At 41.7% G+C, this 19,164-nt stretch overlaps 1 protein-coding gene across 8 annotated transcripts in view, besides 1 other annotated feature; it reads left to right on the forward strand.

Moving 5' to 3' along the window:
* PRKCH (protein kinase C eta) overlaps window positions 1-19,164 on the forward strand; it is a 363,509-nt gene that overhangs the window by 211,001 nt on the left and 133,344 nt on the right. The window lies entirely within an intron of this gene.
* Window positions 18,821-18,910: a silencer, noted in NCBI's record as "silent region_5820". NCBI's record gives its function as "represses an Ori minimal core promoter by ATAC-STARR-seq in GM12878 lymphoblastoid cells {active_cell/tissue: GM12878}" and the evidence as "EXISTENCE:reporter gene assay evidence [ECO:0000049][PMID:35858748]".

Here is a 19,164-nt window from a genome sequence, read left to right on the forward strand (position 1 = left end):
AAGATTTTACGATTTGAAGAGAACATAGTTTGCAGTAAATGAAGTTTGCTTGGACTCAGGGAACCACAAACTTAAATGGTTGGCCCACAAATAAAAAACCAGACATGATGTGTCTCCTGATGGAAGCCCACACAACATCGTGATCTTGCCAAAAAGTAGAGGTAGTTTTGCCCAAAACTCAAGCCTTAGACCAGTCAGGCTTCCAGATCCAACCACCAGTTAAGAGGAAATATAGGGGACAGAGGAGCATTTTAAGTTACACCATGGGATGTAATCAGCAAAATCCAGACTGTGGAAAAATTTTACAGGAAAAGAGACTTGGTTTCTTCTACCAAACATTGGAAGAAAAAAGTAAAGGAAAGAGAACCAAAGTAACAAGAGAGAGGCATATTAATCATTTGCAATATATGGGCCACATTTTATCCCAATTCAAACACAAATTATAAAAGAAACATTAACTCCCAGGAGGCAAGTGAAGAAATGGAAACCGTGCCTGGATCTGTGAGGATATTACAGAATTGTTGATGTTATTTAGGTGTGATTGTGGTATTGTGGTTACTTAAAACAAAAAGAACATCCATTAGAAATACACTTAAAAATATTTACTGATGATATGATATGACATCTGGGCTTTACTTCAGAATAATGCAGAGGTGGGCAGAGGAGATGGGATAGAATTGAAACCCGATTAGCCATGAGTTGTTTACTGAAGCTGGGTGATGATTATATGTTGCATGTGGTTTATTATAGTATTCTACTTTTGCATGTATTTGAAATTTTCATTAATAAGTTAAAAAGTAAAATAAAATGACAAATTTCAAGAATATCTGCTTCTTAAACAAAAACCAGAATCTGGGTTATGACATCAAAATGATGCTTGAACTTGAACATTTTACCTCTTTCCACTTACAAATTAAAGCTGGAGGGTTTTTTAATGTATATGTTTTATCCATGATTCTCAGTTTTTATGTATGATGAAAAAGTAAGTTAAAAATTTTAAATGACTAAAGTACTGTGCTTCAGAAAGACTTTTTTAAATTGCTAAATAAATAATAAGCTGTGAGTCAAAAACTGCAGGTAGGAACAGGTGAGTAAGATAATTCCTTTTGTTCCGTCATAAAGTTCTCACTCACAGTGAATGACAAGTAGATTATCTCCTACTAATAATTACATAACATTTTGCAGTTGCGAAGTTTAATTTTAAGGTAGTTTCCTAAAAGAATAAAGTAAATCAGAAGGATTAATGGTAGAAGTATCTTTATAAAGATAGTAAGAAAAAGGTTCTTAGTGTACTTGTTTCTTCCCCAGAGTTCCCAAGGCAAACATAAAGGTATTCTATTTTGTACAAGTTTTTGGGGAAGGAAAACTTCCTCAAAAACAAAACCCTGACAAAGAACCTGTTATTTGTGAATTTGAAGCTTGTTTAGAAAAAAAAGGCCTTTTACTTCTGCTAAAACCTTGAATTGTTCCTTATTTGAGACATTTAATATGTAACTTGGAAAAGATATACATTTGTCCTGGGGAGACAATGGAAAGGCACTTGAATTTTGGCATCTGCTTTTTCTCTCTACTAAGGCAGTGCACAATGGTGCAGAATAAGAGTCTGATCTTTTTCTTTTTGTCCCATTGCCTCAGTTTTTAGCTCACATTTCTTGTCTCAAGCCCACTGGTTTACAAATAATTACGTTCTCTGCTAAGTCATGTGGCACATGGACCATCAAGGCAGATGAAGCATGTGTTACTGCTTTGAAGCTGCAGCCCACAGTTACCCCCTGTATCAACACTTCAGATGCATGTCATTTTTAAAGAGAAAAAGTGATTTCTGGTGGTAGTTGATTTATAGCATTCCTTTCTCAGATTTCAAGCCTGGTGACAAGTTGTTGATTTAATTTTTTTAAAATGTAGCTTTAAAAAAATTTATTCTTTTGGCATATTAGCTTGAAGAATGAGTGACCACTTTAGTTTTTGTGTTTGTTTTTTGCTGGTCTAAGCAATTGTGGCTATCAGGTTGAAGACAGGGTAGGAGAGAAAGAAAGGAATTGAGGGAATGGGAGAATAGGAACTGGAAACGGGCGAATGATGTTTTTAAAGGATTGAGACTAATTGTCCCTTGTCATAGATGCTCTCTCGTCTTCTCCATAATATCTAGCTCATTTGTTGAATGCCTTCTGAGGACCAGACACTGGAGTTGGCTTGTAATTTAGCAAATAGCAATGGGAGCCCTCATTTTATTTTCTGGTAGCAGGATAAACTCTTACCTAGTAACTGAGTACCTCTACGTGTTCATACCATGCTATATATTATTCCATTTTCTCTCTATAACAAATTTCTGAGGCTGTTGTAATTCTCAGTATGCAAATGGTGAACCAGACTCAGAGACGCTAATTTACTATGGTCTTTCCTGGATAGTAAGTGCCAGAGCCCAGACACAAGCTCAGATTGCAATGCTGAGGTCCAAGATCTTTCTACACCATCCAGCTATCTGAGGAGTTGGGGGTGGGGGGGCAGCATTTTAGTTTTTTTCTTTATTCCATCTTAGAGGAAAACTGTCCTCAGGATAGCATAATCCCACCCTCCAGAGAGTCTTGTCTTTTGGGATGATGTCTTTTTGCAAGGCTTCCCTTGAGTTCCTCCTCCTTAAACTGGAGGACCAACATTCACCCAGGAAAGGTGCAGCATTCTCAGACATCAGGCATGGATGGGCCAGAAAGCTCTAGGCAGATTGAGTTTAAGATTTGCTCAGGTTTTGTTGTCAGTAGGTTCTCTTAATGTACATCTTAAGCTAGAACTCAGAAGATGAAAATACAATCAGTGAGTTCAGCATAGGTATGATAGCTCTATTTGCCTTTTTATACCCCAGTCATCATTGGCTTCACTGTACCTACTTCTCTTATTTTGACTGACTGTAAGTGAAAAAACTAGGTGGTGGCTTTGTTGGAAATTTTAAAATTCATTCTCAAAGTGTGATCCTGCAGACTTCTGAGAGTTCCAGAGACATTTTCAGGAAGTCTGCAGTTCCAAACTGTTTTCCTTATAATACGAAGATTTTATTCATCCTTTTTTCCCCACTGTGTTGACATTTGCCCCAATGGTGCAAAAGAGAAATGGTGGGTAAAAGCATGGCACCAAACTATAAAGTCATCATTGTATTCTTGATGGCCACGTAGTTGCAGGAGGAAGAAATCTAGTTTCACTTAAGAATGTCTTTGATGGAACAGTAAACATTATTCATGTTATTAAAGGTCAATCCTTGACTATATACCTTTGTAACATTCTGTGTGACAAAATGGGAAATATGCTAAAAGCATTCCTGCTTCATACTGAAATACTGTTGTGTCTCAAGGAAAAGCACTTGTGTGATTGAGTTGTTAGCTGAGCTAGCCACTTTTTGCATGGAACACCATTTTTACTTTGAAAGAATGACAGACAAACCATACTGTGGAACTGGCAGATTTTTCAGACATTGTCTAAAAAACGAATGAACTGCGCCTGTTACTTCAGGGAAAACAACTGTAAGTATTTGGTGCCAGTGATAAAATTAGAGCCTTCAAAACATAATTCGAATTTTGGAAAGTTTATATCCACCATTGTGAGCTTGACAACTTCCCAGTACTTATTCTTTTCTCATGAGTTTGTTGTTATTAACGATTGTAATTTTTAAAAATTGTGTTATGAGATATGTCAACATTTAGAAGATGACTTCCAATGATTCAGTGAACACGTATTTTCACAATGGCCAGTACGAGATGTTATAAAATCATTTATGGGTCAAGGATCTCTTGAAAGCGTAAGGTAGACTCATGTATATTAATTTAAAGTATGAAAAGTTCATTGATACAGTTTTATATTGCAACCAACTTTTGAGAAACTACGCCTTGTTTACTTTTGTGTGGTATTAAAGAAGAATATCTGCAATTATCTGAAAAATCTATTAAAATTATATTTTTAAATTACTCTGTGTGAGGCTGGACTGTATTCATGTACTTCAACTAGAACAACATTACAGTGGCTTGAATACAGAAGCAGATATGAGAATCTAGCTGTCAGGCTGGGCGCAGTGGCTCACGCCTGTAATCCCAGCACTTTGGGAGGCCGAGGCGGGCAGATCACGAGGTCAGGAGATCAAGACCATCCTGGCCAACATGGTGAAACCCCGTCTCTACTAAAAATACAAAAAAAAATTAGCTGGGTGTGGTGGTGCGTGCCTGTAATCCCAGCTACTCGGGAGGCTGAGGCAGGAGAATCACTTGAACCAGGGAGTCAGAGGTTGCAGTGAGCCAATATTGTGCCACTGCACTCCAGCCTGGTGACAGAGCGAAACTCTGTCTCAAAAAAAAAGAAAAAAAGAAAAAAGAAAGAATCTAGCTGTCTTTTTTTTTAATTAATTAATTAATTTATTTATTTTATTTTTATTTATTATTATTAGACTTTAAGTTTTAGGGTACATGTGCACAATGTGCAGGTTAGTTACATATATATACATGTGCCATGCTGGTGCGCTGCACCCACTAACTCATCCTCTAGCATTAGGTATATCTCCCAATGCTATCCCTCCCGCCTCCCCACTAGCTGTCTTCTTTTAAGTCAGACATTAAAGAGATTTGCAAATTGTAAAATAATGCCACTCTCTCTATCTTTGGGGGGATGTTTGAAAATGTAGTTATATTTTATTAAAATGTGTATACTAACATGTAATGGAATTGTTATTGTTTTTAATAAATGATAAATATTTTTAAATGTCTCCATTTAAATTTCTAATTTGACAAATATCAGTAGAATCCATTCAAAGGGGTACTTGGACCAAAAAATTTTACAATTTCTAGGTTATTTTTTTCTTACATTCTTTCAAAAGCCCAGTGCTTTAAATTTTAATGACCACAGGGAGAAGGAACTGACACATATTTGTGTATGTTATAATCAGAAAAAAATATGTACAGTTAGGTGATACAGGTGACAGAATTGTCATTTTTTTGAAACTTTCTTTTTGTTTCTGATTATTTCTGCTGTGCAGTGTACTTTTTCAGCCAGTTTTTGTTATAAGCCTGTTCTCATAAAAATAAGGTCAGGAAGTGACACCAAAACAACTCAGAAGCCTGTGGTGGTTTCTAACTTTAGAGCTGCCTGTTACAGATAGCTTCATGCTAAACCTTTGCTTGATTTGAGCAGAACAAGGCAGTCACGATACTTCTGAACAAGTGATCAGTGCTGTGAGCACTAAAAGCTGAACCTCAAAAACAGCTCAAGATCCATGGACAGAGCCTCAGGAGACACATTTCTATGGCACTCGCTTACTGACTAGCATTCTCCTTTTCTAATCAAGGTTCTTGAAAAACAGAGGCTGACTCGTTTGTTAATTTTTTTCAAGCTTTATTGTTTTTTCCTTGAAATTATAGTGATGTGGTATTCTCTCTATGGAACTGAGGTTTGGGTAAAACAAGAATGATTTAATTTTTTGATAGAAAAGTTAATTGCTCCAGTGTCTGTTTTCATTATACTTCCATTTTATTTCCAGCAACCCCTTATCTCTCTGCTCTCTTTGTTTCAAATGAACAAGACAGTAGAGTTTGTTTTCCAGGCCACTTGTGTTGGTAACCCTTTTCCTAAGCTTTCCCTAATAACACCCTGTGTCAGTGGACAGGTAGTAGGTAGGAAGACCTGCTTCTTCCCTTCTACCGTGAAACTCGTCTTCAGCATCATTCTTTCATCCTGATGGCTGAGAGTTGTGTTCTGGTCTCAAGTCAGCAGTGGATAACCCACTGCATGAAGTTGATGGGGAGTGTGGGCATGGACAACAGTGGCCTGAGGTTGCAGATACATTCTTTGTATATGTAAGAGACCACCTTATATTTTGTAAGTGGAAACTTAGTTCTCATAGGATTTTGGAGAAAATCAGTTGCCTCCTCTAGGAATTTTCATTTGTTTACAAAATGTCCTGGGTCAAGCAATACTTTTATGTTATCCCCACTTAGGTTTAGTGGATCCATCCATCCATCCATCCACCCACCCACCCACCCACAGAGTATTTATGTAGAAAACTATGTAATGGATGTATATATTCATGCATGTGTGTATGCATGTACTTAGTAATGACACTGGTTTGTTCTCACAGAACTCAAAATTTGGTGTGTATGTGGAGACATAAACAATTAGAAAGGTTAACATAATATGTACCTCCACAGGTGGTACATGCTATGGAGAAAATAAAACAGAGTAAGAGGACAGAGATGGGTCCTATGTGTATGCTGTTTTGTTCAAATCAGATGGTCAGGGAAGGCCCCTCTGATGAGGTATCATTTGAGCCAGAGGTCTGAAGAAAGGGAGGGAGTGGACCTTGAGTCTGTCTATTGGGATGGGGAACAGGAAGTGCAAATACTGTAAGGGTTGCAGCAGGGAGAGGAGTGTAGCTGGGCCTTGAGGTCAGGGGAGGTGCCCACATGGTTGTTGGCACAACTTTGGTGCCCTGCTAATGTCACTTTCCTCTTCAAGAATACCCTTGTCACTTAAGTGATGTTCACTTATGCTTGCTGCTGGCTTACCATTTGGCTCACTGAGCACGTCTTTTCCCCTTTGGTTAGGGGCTTGAAGAGCACAGCATCACATCTATTTATGACTTGATGTATTTTGCTAATGCGGAAACCATTCCAAATTCATGATAACAACTTTCTCCAGTTCTGTGAATTCCCTCATGGTTTCTTTTTGTTCTAAGCCAAATTAGGAGCCAATCCCCAGCTTAATAAGCATTAAAAGTTCAAATTGACTGTCTGGAAATCTATAACAAGTCCATGCACTCCTAAATATAATTAGCTGTAATTCAGTTCTAGTTATGGATTATTAAGAAATTACTCTTATTTGAGCACCTCACTCATCAAAAATAAAGTCAGAAAATTTAGGCGCAGCTGGAATCTTCTGCTCTTTTTTTTTTTTTTGAGACGGAGTCTCACTCTTGTCGCCCAGGCTGGAGTGCAGTGGCGCAATCTCAGCTCACTGCAACCTCCACCTCCCGGGTTCAAGCGATTCTGCTGCCTCAGCCTCCTGAGTAGCTGGGATTACAGGCGCGCAGCACCACGCCCAGCTAATTTTTGTATTTTTAGTAGAGATGGGGCTTCACCATGTTGGCCAGGCTGGTCTCGAACTCCTGATCTCAGGTGATCGGCACCCCTTGGCCTCCCAGAGTGCTGGGATTATAGGTGAGCGCCACCATGCCTGGCCAAATCTTCTATTCTTGAACTTGTGGTGAACTATCATTTGTTGAGGAGTTTTAATAAGTGTTAGTGATAGATCTCTACTAAATAACTGGAGAGGTAAGTAGGTTGGAGCTCAGTCTTGGTACCTTATAGGGACTTAGTATATAGCTTTTGGAAAGTTAATTCTTACTGAATTTTGATGATACTTCTTGTTTCATGTAAATGTGGATGCTTCCGTTATGTGAGTCCTAAGATTTGGGATTTACCAAGTACTGAGAATAGGACCTTCAAAAAATATGAAATGCCAAGAGGATCTGTTTTAAAGCAATGGAATTATTTGAGAATTTTGAAAAATACAGATTCTCAGGACCCAGTCTGAATGAGAATCTCTGGGGAAGAGGCCAAGGAAACAGAATTCAGGTAAGCACCTTGGCTGCTTCCAGTGGTTGGCCAATTTGGATATCCCTGTTGTGTCCTAAATTATACCTAATTTGATTAAAGTTTTGGTGGCTGGGAGGTTTGCTAGTTGAAAAACACATACAGGAAAAAAAAAATGTACAGGGGAGTGTATTGCTTTGGTGTAGTCGTTTAAGAGTTGACAAAAACCCCAAATGTATTCTTTTAAGAACCTTTTAAAATGCTGCGACAAGGGTCAGGTTACAGTTTTTGCGTTGTTAGGGGGGCACATGAGACTCAGCAGCTACAGGCCTTGTTAATGTCTGCAAACACTCAGTGCTAATGTGGAGACTCAAGCCAGGCTTGAAAGTGATAAAATCAGGATGGGAATGTTGGCTTTGCTGCCCATCAACTGTTAGACTGGAGACAAGTTACAGGCATTTCCTTTTTTGTGGGGTAACTGAGACCAGGAAAAGACAATTGAAAGTGGTTCCAGTTAAAATGGGAGCCACAGTTTTTTCGTAGTATATATCTTTAAAAAGGTTTGATTAATACTGTTCTTAAAATGACAACAACAATTGTGAAAGGAAATTTCATTCATCTTATATTTATCAGTGTTTGGGTTCCAGTGGCACCTGTGTGCTAATTCTTAGAACCAAGAATGGATCACATAACTCAGTAGGTATTTCTCTGACTGATTTGAAAGCATGATAACAGCTTCCACTTCACGCTGACTTTCTCAGCATTGTGCCGAGCAGAGTTATTTTTGCAAAAAGGTTTGAAGATTTCATCAGTTTTTCCAGTAGACAGGCATGGCTCCACCAGTGTTGGTCTCCTCTTTGTTGGTGATGAACTCGACATCCGAGATTTACTCTGTCAGGGGTTTGCTGTGATTGGAGTAGTGTATTAGTCAATTTCATGACTTCCCGCATCCACTACAAGATCTCACTTTTTGATCCGGGGCTGATTTTTGTGGCACAGTTTGTATTATGGGATGTATCTGCTACTCAGAAAGGGAGAACAACAGCCATTTACATGGTGGGCAGGAATAGGGTAGTTTTAAGCAAGGAGGGGTGTTAGAGTAGGGACTGATTTAAAAGTGGTCATTCTGTTCATCAGAGACTATTCTCATGCTCTGACCATTTAGTTTATCTAAATCTTAGGATTATAGGGATTTTAATAATTAATACTCAGATGATGAGTTCAGGTGTCTCTGTAAAATGAATAATGCATTTATTATTAAGTCTAAATACCCTACCATTCTGAAGGCGGGACTGCATGTCTAATACCACCATCTTATCTAATGGTTCCTTGGGATCCACCCAGGCACAGGAGAACATAACAATGCTTGGAGGGGTTCTAACCTAGGACTTCAGAAAGAATTCATCGACAAAGACTGAAGCTTAACTCTAGGAGGGAACTGTATTGATTTCCTTAAACATACTAAGGAATGGCAATTCAGTAGGACTCTGCTGTCCCCTTCCAGCCCCTCCTCAGTGAGGACCTGGTGGGGACACTCAGCCAGAGTGTGAAAGGAACAGCTTCAGGGCCCTGCTCAAATGTGTCTGGGAGCTGTCACTTTTTCCATGCCTCTTTCTCGGGTGTTGGACGTCCTCATTTGAGACTTTTAATTCCTACATTCTTGGTCTTTGCCTCTCTGAATGCTTGAAGGTCACACTTAGGTACAGCCTTTATAGAACCTTTTGTCTGATATGCAGAATATTGACTGCATGCTGGCTGTGTCTGTCTGTCTGTGCCTCTGTCTTTCTCTAGCCAGGGATTACAGACTGCCCATGGGCTGAAATCAGCCTGCAGACCAGTTTTGCTTTGTATGCAGCATGGAATAATGCTTTTGAGGTTTTCCAACTTGAGCTCTTCAGACAGGGCAGGGTTCTCCAGTGTCCCACATCCCCTGTTGTCTGAATTTCCTCTGAATTCACACCTCTATGCCTCCTTCTCTGGCCTCAGTTTGCAATCCTGAATCTGAGCATTTGTCCCATGTGTTTACTGGGCAGTGTGCAGTGGCCTTGGGGGAGACTTTGAAACATGTTTTAGTGAGAAGGATCACTTCTTTACTGAAGTCAAAACTGAAAATACTTTCCCTTCGTGGAATACCATACAGGCGTCTCTCTTGCACTGTTCAGCATCCCATCCTACTCAGTGGCATTCCCACTCTAGGTTTTGGGTAGTACAGAGTCTCACTGCTTTGGGGAGCTTTTGGGGGCATGGTGGAGAGAGAAATCTCTTCATTTTTTCAATTTGTTTGGATCAGAAGATTAGCCTGCTTTCAGGTAATAGGTCTACTTTTAGTGATGCCTACAGTTCCCTGAATGCCCCCCAAAAGTTAATTTCTGGTGTCACTGTTAATCCTTACAGTCAAAATTTCCTGGGAATTGCTATTGGGGATCTGTAGCTGTGCTGGAGATAGGGGCATGGGTAGGGGAGGACCATCAGTTTTGGATCAGATGGACTTGGTTCTGCTGCCTGTCCTTCCTTGCTGCGTGACCTTAAGCAATGGTTGCCTTATGTGTAAAACAAGGGGCTAATGATACCTAAACCCAGGGTTGCTGCAAAGGTTACATGAGCTTATGCACACAAGCACACACCCACAAAGTGTAGCATTAGGATCTGATGCAGACTATGTTCCCACCCACTTGGGAAGGAAATCCGTGCCCCATTTACTTCCATGTACTTGGTGGTGAATCATCTAAAAGATACTGGAAAAATGTGATTACAGATGCCCCCTTTCTCGGCCATTGCTTCAAATCCTAGACAGCTATTGAACGTCACCGGATAGACGTCATATTCTAGGAGGGTGTCAAGTACATACAGGTCTGTGTTTCTATGTGCTTTTTGTAGGAGCTATCAACTATAAAGCTGTGGGTATGAGAATTTCAGGGCAAGGTCGGGAAGGTGTAGGAGGGATTCACTAACTCTGGGGAAAGTGTGTGCTGCTTTGTCAGTTTCCTGTTCGCTAGGCCACAGGGAATATGTTGGCTCTTTCTGAATCTGCCCACCAGAGCCAATGTCATACCTTTTCCCAAGCCACTGCTTGAGGGTCCAGCTAATTGATGCCACCGCATTGCCTCTCCTGGTGAGGACCGACTGTGCCATGGGGGTGGTGGCTGTGGGCGTAGACAGCCCTGTTCATGGGCATGCACACTGCCATGGGTGCTCCATGGGAATGCTGGTAGATAGCAGAACATGGATCAGGAGTTCTACTCTCCAGGATAGCATGACCCAGCCATGGGCTCAAGGAATTGCTCTTTGGGATATGTTTGAAACTCATCCCCTACTCTGGCCGATTCTTTCAGTACAGATACAGAAATGCAATGAGAACCTTCTCCCTGTAGTTCTGTTAAGATAAATGAGTGGTAGTGGCTCATACCTGTAATCCTAATACTCTGGGAGGCTGAAGCAGGAGGATTGCTTGAGCCCAGGAGTTCAAGACCAGCTGGGCAACATAGTGAGATGCCAGGCATCTCCACCAAAAAAAGAAAAAAAAATCCAGGCATGGTGGTGTGCACCTGTATTCCCAGTTACTTGGGAGGCAAGAAGATTGCCTGAACCCAGAGGTTTGAGGCTGCAGTGAGCCATGATTGTGCCACTGTGCTCCAACCTGAGTAACATGAGTGACACAGTGAGACCCTGTCTCAAAAAAAAAAAAAAAAAAAAAAAAAGAGTTAATGTTTATAAGGTGTTTCTAGGTCCCAGGAAAAAGAAATGTTTTAAAAGTAGATTGTATATGCTACTTGTTATTAATTTCTTATCTCTAGAGATTGAATGGTAAGAGCCAGGGCCAGCATTGTACATTGTCAGGCAGCATTGCCCCTGTCGTCTGCCTTTTCCTCCTGTTACTAGGAGCTTGTTAGGTTTGGTCACCAGCCTGATGACCTGATCAAATGTTGCCTGTCAACTTGGAGTGACTGTGGTTGTTTATTTTGTTATTTATTCACCAATAAATTGAGTTGGTTCACTCTGTGTATTTTTACAGCATTTGGCCTTTTCCCAAATATTTGCCTTAGTTTATTAAATTAGCTTCTCAGTTATAAGTTAAAGTGTGTGTTGACTTTTATGATTTTAATTTTACAGGCTTGGTTGGCTTTGAATGACCAGATGGCATCTCTTGAGTCTGTGAGCAGGTTTTGTTTCACTTAGGACTTCACCCCCACCCCGTTCTTAAAAATGGTGATATGTTAAATCCACTTTAAATCTAGTATTTGATTATTAATTAAAATATCTCTTATGCATTTTGAAGGTAAAATTACAATTTTGTTCCATGTGAAATGGGAGCATGTGTTGACAAACCGTTGATTAACTTGAGTGGATTTGGGTTAATCTTTTTACTCTGCTCCATGCTGCCTGCCTGTAGGGTAATATAAATCCGTTGGGCTGTTGCTAGGCTCAGCTGCTTCTGAGTAGTTTGACAGGTTTCATCCTGTTAAAGGCTCTTTTTCTCTAGGCCCTAGATTCTAGGGGTATTGGGGTGATGCTGGTGAATGGAGTCTAACTGCGTATTTGCTTCTTGCTTCCAGCACCAATTGTGGCCAATGGAGTGAGGCAAAGAGCACTGGTGTGGCTAAATTACTCCTTCTGCAGTCCCCAGCATATTATTGGATGCTCTTTTTCCCTCTCCCAGAGCTTTCCTTATCTTCTAATTTCAAAGATAAGCGTTACCTGTAGGCAACGCACCCGACCTCTATCCCTGTTGTGGTAGCTACACATAAACATAGCCATCATGGCCAGGTCCCTTGGGTGGTCACATTTCCTACTGTTCTGATCACCTTCCACTATCAACACTGACCAGTGTGCCTGGCTAATTCCAAACCGTGCGAATGGCTGTGTTGCCTGGGCTCATGAAGCCTGTCAGGAAGAGCTGTGGACAGATGATTTTTGAAAATGAGGGTGATTGCAAAGGGACAGAAAGTATGAGACATCGTGGATGCTGTCTTTTCCTTAGGCCTTCAGTCATTTGAAGTCAGGACTTCCAAGCCTGGATATCCAGTGGGCTTCTGGGGAAAGTGGATCAGAGCTCAGCAAGGATTGAGCCCCAGCGACTTCCAACAAACCATCCCATCCAACAGAGGCTGTCTTCACTATGCAGACCTTTGAGCCACCTCAGAAGACACCAGCCTTCATGCTCATCCTTTACACGTCTCTTTGGTTCATGTACCAGTCCCTTGTCCTCCTCGGTGACCAAGATAGGAATGGTGTCAACGGATGATTATGGCATGACATAGAGTAACTCTTTGCATAAAAGAGTGGACAGGGCAGGCACTTAACACTTGAGGACCCCTGTTCCAGTCAGCCACAGATGTATTTATTAGGCCTTAAACTGATGGGATGGTTCTTGGATTTTTCAGTTTAAAACCTATAGGGGGACTTTACTTTTGGCCAAATGCTGAAACAAGTATTGGATTTATCTTCCCATGTGAAAAACAAAATATGGACAAAATAAATGAAACAATGATTTGTAAGACACTGGATACATCAGACAACAAAGGCCAATGATTCCTGAGAGATAGGAAACAAATGAGGTGAGACCTCTGAGTTTTTTCAAACTGCCTTAAAAGAGTTTCCAAGCTATAGCACAGGAAAAGGGAACCATGTGGAGCCCAGCAGACTCCCTGAGTTGAGGATTGGATCTGAGAGTCCAGAGAGACTAAGGCCACTAGAGATCATGGGATACAGTACTAGAGAAGAGACAGCTGCACCAAGACATAACTCTGGAGGTGTACAAAGTTCTGAGAACTGATCAGTGTAAAGAAGCTGCCTGAGTCTGGGGAAAGCACCATTCAAAAGGAGCAAAGATAACTGTTTCTGGTGCTCACACGGGGCCAGAAATAGTGCTTCTGCCACCAACCAGACTGGAAAACTTCAAGAGTCATGGAGCATTGGGTAGAGTAGAGTACATAGAAGGGCCTTGCTTGCTTAGTGGGGAATAACTAACCCAACTGAGCATGGCTTTAAATCTAAAAAGCAAGATCTGATAGGGCCGAACTATTTCTGAGTAACTTAGCTGTGTCCCAGATCAAAGCTGATTTTATAGAAATACAAAACTATCACTCAATAGGCAAAAACCAGTGTCTGGCATCCAACCAAAAATTACCAGATGTACAAAGAAGCAAGAAAGTACAACCCATAATGGGAGCAAATCAACCAATCAAAACTGACCCAGAATTAACGCAGATGTTACAATTAGCAGATAAGGACATTAAAATGGTTATTATAACTATATTCCATATGTTAAGCAGAAACATACTTGTCTTTAAAAAGACAAGTAGAAAAGTGAAAATGGAGAAAATAAACAAAAAGACCCCAATTGGATTTGAAACATGGGTTGCTTTTCTATGACTCCATCCTTATGTTACTTCAACCGAACCCATATGACCTGAACCTGGCCCCTGCTAATTTATCTGAACCATAAGCTCCTACTTATCTTCTCAGTGCTCTCTCTAGCCAGGACTGTGGGGTCATCCCTGCAGTGCTAACTCAGTGATGCCCAGGGGTCACTTGACCCTTTAATCTTCCTTCATGCCTGCTGTGCCAATGCCTGACCTGAGCAATCATCTCACAGATGATTGGATGTTGCTGGCTGGACCCATGGCATATAAATTTTTGGCATTAAGCAGATACTTAGCAAAAACGGAAGCATTCTTCTTGTGTTGGTTTCTCAGCAATTCTAAAACTTTTACACCTGAAAGCCCCTTCCCACTTTTTTTCCCACTCATATTCTCTTTCTCTTACTCTGCTGAAAAAATCCTGCAAGATCTGCCATCTTTATGTGCCTGCTGTCCCTCAGTGTGGCCATCTCTTTTCTTCCTTTCTGCTGGCTGCCAGGGAACCTCTCTTCCTACAGAAGCTACACCTTTTCCTGGGTGGATCCATCCTCTCTGGCCTCTTAACACATTCTCACATGTTCATTTACCTGGACTGACCACACTTTGTTTAGTCCCTTGCTCTCCTTTGGCTGCTTCTCCTGTGGTGATTTAAACAGAAAAAAAAAATTCTTCACCTGATCATAGTATCCTCAGCTACCATCCTATTTCTTTCCCCCCTTTGCAGCCAACTATCTTGACAAACGTTTTGTATCTGCGTCTCACCACCAACTTTCTACTCAGCTCCTGCTTCGCTCTTGCCCAGACACTTTCTAATTACAAAGTGTACCTCTCCTTTCTCTGCAATCTTTCGTGTGACCGTGATGCTGCATTTGGTTCTGTTTCATGTTCTCCCTTTGGGCACCTCAAACGACTGCAAACCCTTGGCCTCTATTCTGAGTGGTGGTCCCCAGCACCCCAGCTCCTTTTCTCCCATTCCCTTCAGTGATGACAACCTTCATCATTTCTTTTTAAGCGCCCCCCCCCCGCCCCGCCCATGTACCCTGTGCCTATATTCTAAGCAAGTGGCTTAGATCCTACTTAATCTGGAAAATTGCATCAGGTGTGAGTGACTTCCCTCAACTACACTGACTTTATCTGCATTCCCACCCATCCTGAGTCCTTAGCCTCTGTTCCAGAGGATAGTTGTCATTGCTTTTGCTAAAGACCTGTGCTTCCTCACGAACTTTGCTTCCCTTTCTTTAACTTCTCCATTTCCTTCTCTCATTTTCTTTCTCTGATCTGTAAACATGGCCAGGCCTCCTCCTCCTAAAAATCTCCTTGGGTACTTTCTAATTTGTCTCCTTTTTTTCATCCGGATATGTTGAGAGTACAGCCTACATACTAATTCTTCACTTCATTGCCTTCTATTTTCTCTTCCAGCCGCTACTTAAGCTCTCTGGCTTCCCTCACCACTATTCTGCTCAAGTAGCGCTTGATAAGGTCACTGAGGGCATCTATATTGCCAAATCCAGTAAGCAGTTTCCAGGCCCCATCTTATTGGACATCTCTGTTGTGTTTGGCAGTGCTCATCACTCTTCCACCTCAGAGCCCACACTTTTTGACTTCTGCAACTCTGAAGTCTGGATCATCCCATTCTTCCCTTCTCTTCCTTTCTCGTATCTTTGGGCTTCTCTACCACCCTCTGCAGTTTGTATCCTTGGGGGATCCATCTTCAGCCCGCCGCTGTCCCCATTCACATCTCTGGTCATCTGTTTCAGTCTGGGATTTCACTCTGCCTGTTGCTCTCCACTCCTCCGTCTATATCTGCAGCCCAGGTCTCTCCCCTGAGTTCCAGCTTCCTGTGTCCAGTCGTGTGCTGGGCACTCTCAATGGGCTTCATTTAATCTTTTTTTTTTTTTTTTGAAATGGAGTCTCACTCTGTCACCCAGGCTGGAGTGTAGTGGTGTGACCTTGGCTCACTACATCCTCCGCCTCCCAGGTTCAAGCTACTCTTCTGTCTCAGCCTCCCTGGTAGCTGGGATTACAGGTGCCCACCCTCATGCCCAGCTAATTTTTGTATTTTTGATAGAGTCGAGGTTTCACCAGATTGGTCAGGCTGGTCTTAAACTCCTGACCCCAAGTGATCTGCCTGCCTCAGTCTCCCAAAGTGCTAGGATTACAGGCATGAGCCACTGTGCCCGGCATGGGCTTCATTTATTCTTTTTTTTTTTTTTTTGAGATGGAGTCTCACTCTGTTGCCCAGGCTGCACTGGCTAAGTTTTTTGTATATTTAGTAGAGACGGGGTTTCATCATGCTGGCTGGGCTGGTCTTGAACTCCTAACCTCGTGATCCGCCTGCCTCAGCCTCCCAAAGTGCTGGGATTACAGGCATGAGCCACTGTGCCTGGCCCATTTAATCTTTCAGTTAGCAAACATGCATCTTCTGTCCCCACACTCTTGAATATGAAATGTTGAATATAATGAATAAAAGCATTCCCCCTCTGCCAAGCACCATACTATCCTGATTCTGTTTCTATCCCTTTGTCCTTCCTCTGTTTCCTTCCTGGGCTCTTGTGTTCTTCACTATCTTAGAAGTGGGCGCCCATTCTCATAGGGCCTTTCATCTGCAGGGACACTCTCAGTGGTTACCTTCAGGCCCCATTTTTCCTGTGAGCCCTGGTTCTGTGCTGTCTTTCAAACTCCTCTGGCTCAGACCCCAGTTGTCATTTTCCTCCCATATCAGCACTGTCTTCACTCCATTTCTGTCATTGCCTTCTTCTGAACACTGAAGCTTGAACACACACATTTTCCCCACCTACACATTTTGTCTTTCCTACTAACTTAAAAGCAATTTGAAGTGTGTGTTCTATTGTGTACCTGTGCACCTCTCCCTCCCCAACATGGTGATATGTGAGGGTATAAAGTGAGGCAAAGAAAAGGCAAAAAGATGAAGTTCCTGTCATTTCCCATTTTAACAAGAGTTGCAGAGGGTCCCCCTACCCCCCATCTCCCACAGCAACTTTGACATTAAGTGATCACTTCAGGGGTGGTATTTGTGGAAGAGGTTTCACCCACACTTCCATTTCCTTAGGAGAGCTGAGGAAGGGGGTTAGCCATTGAAGGATGAAGATATGTAATCAATTTAATGAGGACTGTCATTTGGGGATTTTACAGGAATTTTTGACAGCATTTACTTTAGGCTACACTATGTGGAATCTTCCTTTCCCTTTGGGTAGTGGATCCCTTAATGCCATATTTGTCTGGTTCCATATCTTTCCTGTCACCTTCAGTTTTTTAAAAAAATTGTGATAAAATGCACATAAAAATCTACCTTCTGAACCATTTGTAAGTGTATAGTCCAGTGGTATTAGGTACACTCACATTATTGTAAAACCATCACCACCATCCATCTCCAGAATTCTTTTCATATTGCAAAACTGAAATTCTATACCCATTGAATACTAATTCTCCATTCCCTCTCCCTCCAGCCCTTAGCAAACACCATTCTGCTTTCTGTCTCTATAGATTTGACTACTCTAAGTACCTCCTATAAGTGGAATCATACAGTCTTTATCCTTTTGTGATTGGCTTGTTTTGCTTTGCATAATGTCTTCAGGGTTCACCCGTGTGGTAGCATGTGTCAAGATTCCCCTCCCTTGCCTCTTTTTTCTTTTCTTTTCTTTTCTTTTTTTTTTTTTTTTTTTTTGAGACGGGGTGTCACTGTCACCCTGGTTGGTGCAGTGGCATGATCTTGGCTCACTGCAACCTCTGCCCCGCCCCCGGGCTCAAGCCATCCTCCCACCCAGCTTCCTGAGTAGCTGGGACTACAGGTGTGCACCACCAAGCCCAGCTAATTTTTGTATTTTTTGTAGAGACAGGATTTTGCTATTTGCCCAGGCTAGTCTTGAACTCCTGGGCTCAAGTGATCCACTGGCCTCTGCCTCCCAAAGTGCTGGCATTACAGGTGTAAGCCACCATGCCCAGTCAATTTCCTCCCTTTTTAAGGCTGAATAATATCCCATTGTTAGTATAGATCACATGTTGTTTGTTTATTCTTCCATCAGTGGGTGCTTGGGTTATTCACTTTCAGTTTTAAAACAATCTCTTGTTAGTATTTAATATTGGATTTTGTTTATGTTGAAAACTTTGGTCTCAAACTCAGTTGAGATCTCCTTGGCATATATCTCCCAGCTTGGCTCAGCTGCTGGGCGTGAAGAAGATGATGAGGCCTTGTCCTGAGATACAACACCCCCTAACCTCTTCCCAGCTCTCCCTCCTCTCTCTTTCCTCTCCCCACCCCTGCTTCTCTCTCCTGTCCCTTTCCCCCTCCCCCAAGAGTGATAGTAAGTAAACTCACATTGTGGCAACACCCGTTGGAGTCTCCTGCCCTTAGCTTTCTGTTGGGGAGAGAATAGTCTGCCACCTGAAACACTGCATGCCCTCTAAGGCCAACACCCCTTTCCTTTCTCAGACTCATTCTGACTTTGAGGAAGTAGTCCAGAGTAGTGGAAGGGCTTAGCGGTCCTGTCTCCAGGAAGCCCTTATGGGAGGAGGCTCTCAGAACTTAAATTGTGGGGTACTTTGTGCCTTTGTCCTCAGGTGAAATTCTGGGACAACAGGAAAATTGCCACCCAACATTGTTTTAACACTTAAAAATTAGAGGGGACCTAGACTGATATGATATTTATAAGGGCTGTACATAGGAGCCCTGAAATTCTGTCTTCTCTCTCCATCCCTTTTTCAGTATCCTTCATACTTGAAGAGGAGGGGTTGGGGTCCAGTATAGAATGGGATTTTAAAGTCCCTTTATTAATCATTATTTCCAGAGGCGAGACTGCTCCTTAAGGATAGACGTCTTTGAAAGGGCTTCCTTCCTGTTGTCTGGACCCAATTGCTTTACCACATAGAACCGTCATTACTTTCCCTCTTTTTGGCGGTCTTTTTTGAGCTCTCATTGTTGGTCTAACTGAAAGCACCTGATTTCTAGGGCTTTAACTGAAAGCACCTGATTTCTAGGGCTGTCAGTGCAGCACAGCAGAGACTGCTCTTCAAATGGTCTGGCTTAGTGGTTTCTAACCCTTTTGATTAAGAAGACCACTGCTAAATTTCCCAGAGCCTCACCTAAGTGTTGTACTTTGTGTCTCTTTTGACTAATCATATACTTAATGACAAAAATTTGGTAAATTAGTGAAGCCTTTAATTGGGCATATTTTTAATTTATGAAAGTATATCGGCACTTGTGCATATGTTAGGCTTATTTTTCA

This window comes from Homo sapiens, chromosome 14 (genome assembly GCF_000001405.40).
Source record: "Homo sapiens chromosome 14, GRCh38.p14 Primary Assembly".
Taxonomy (NCBI): Eukaryota; Metazoa; Chordata; class Mammalia; order Primates; family Hominidae; genus Homo; species Homo sapiens.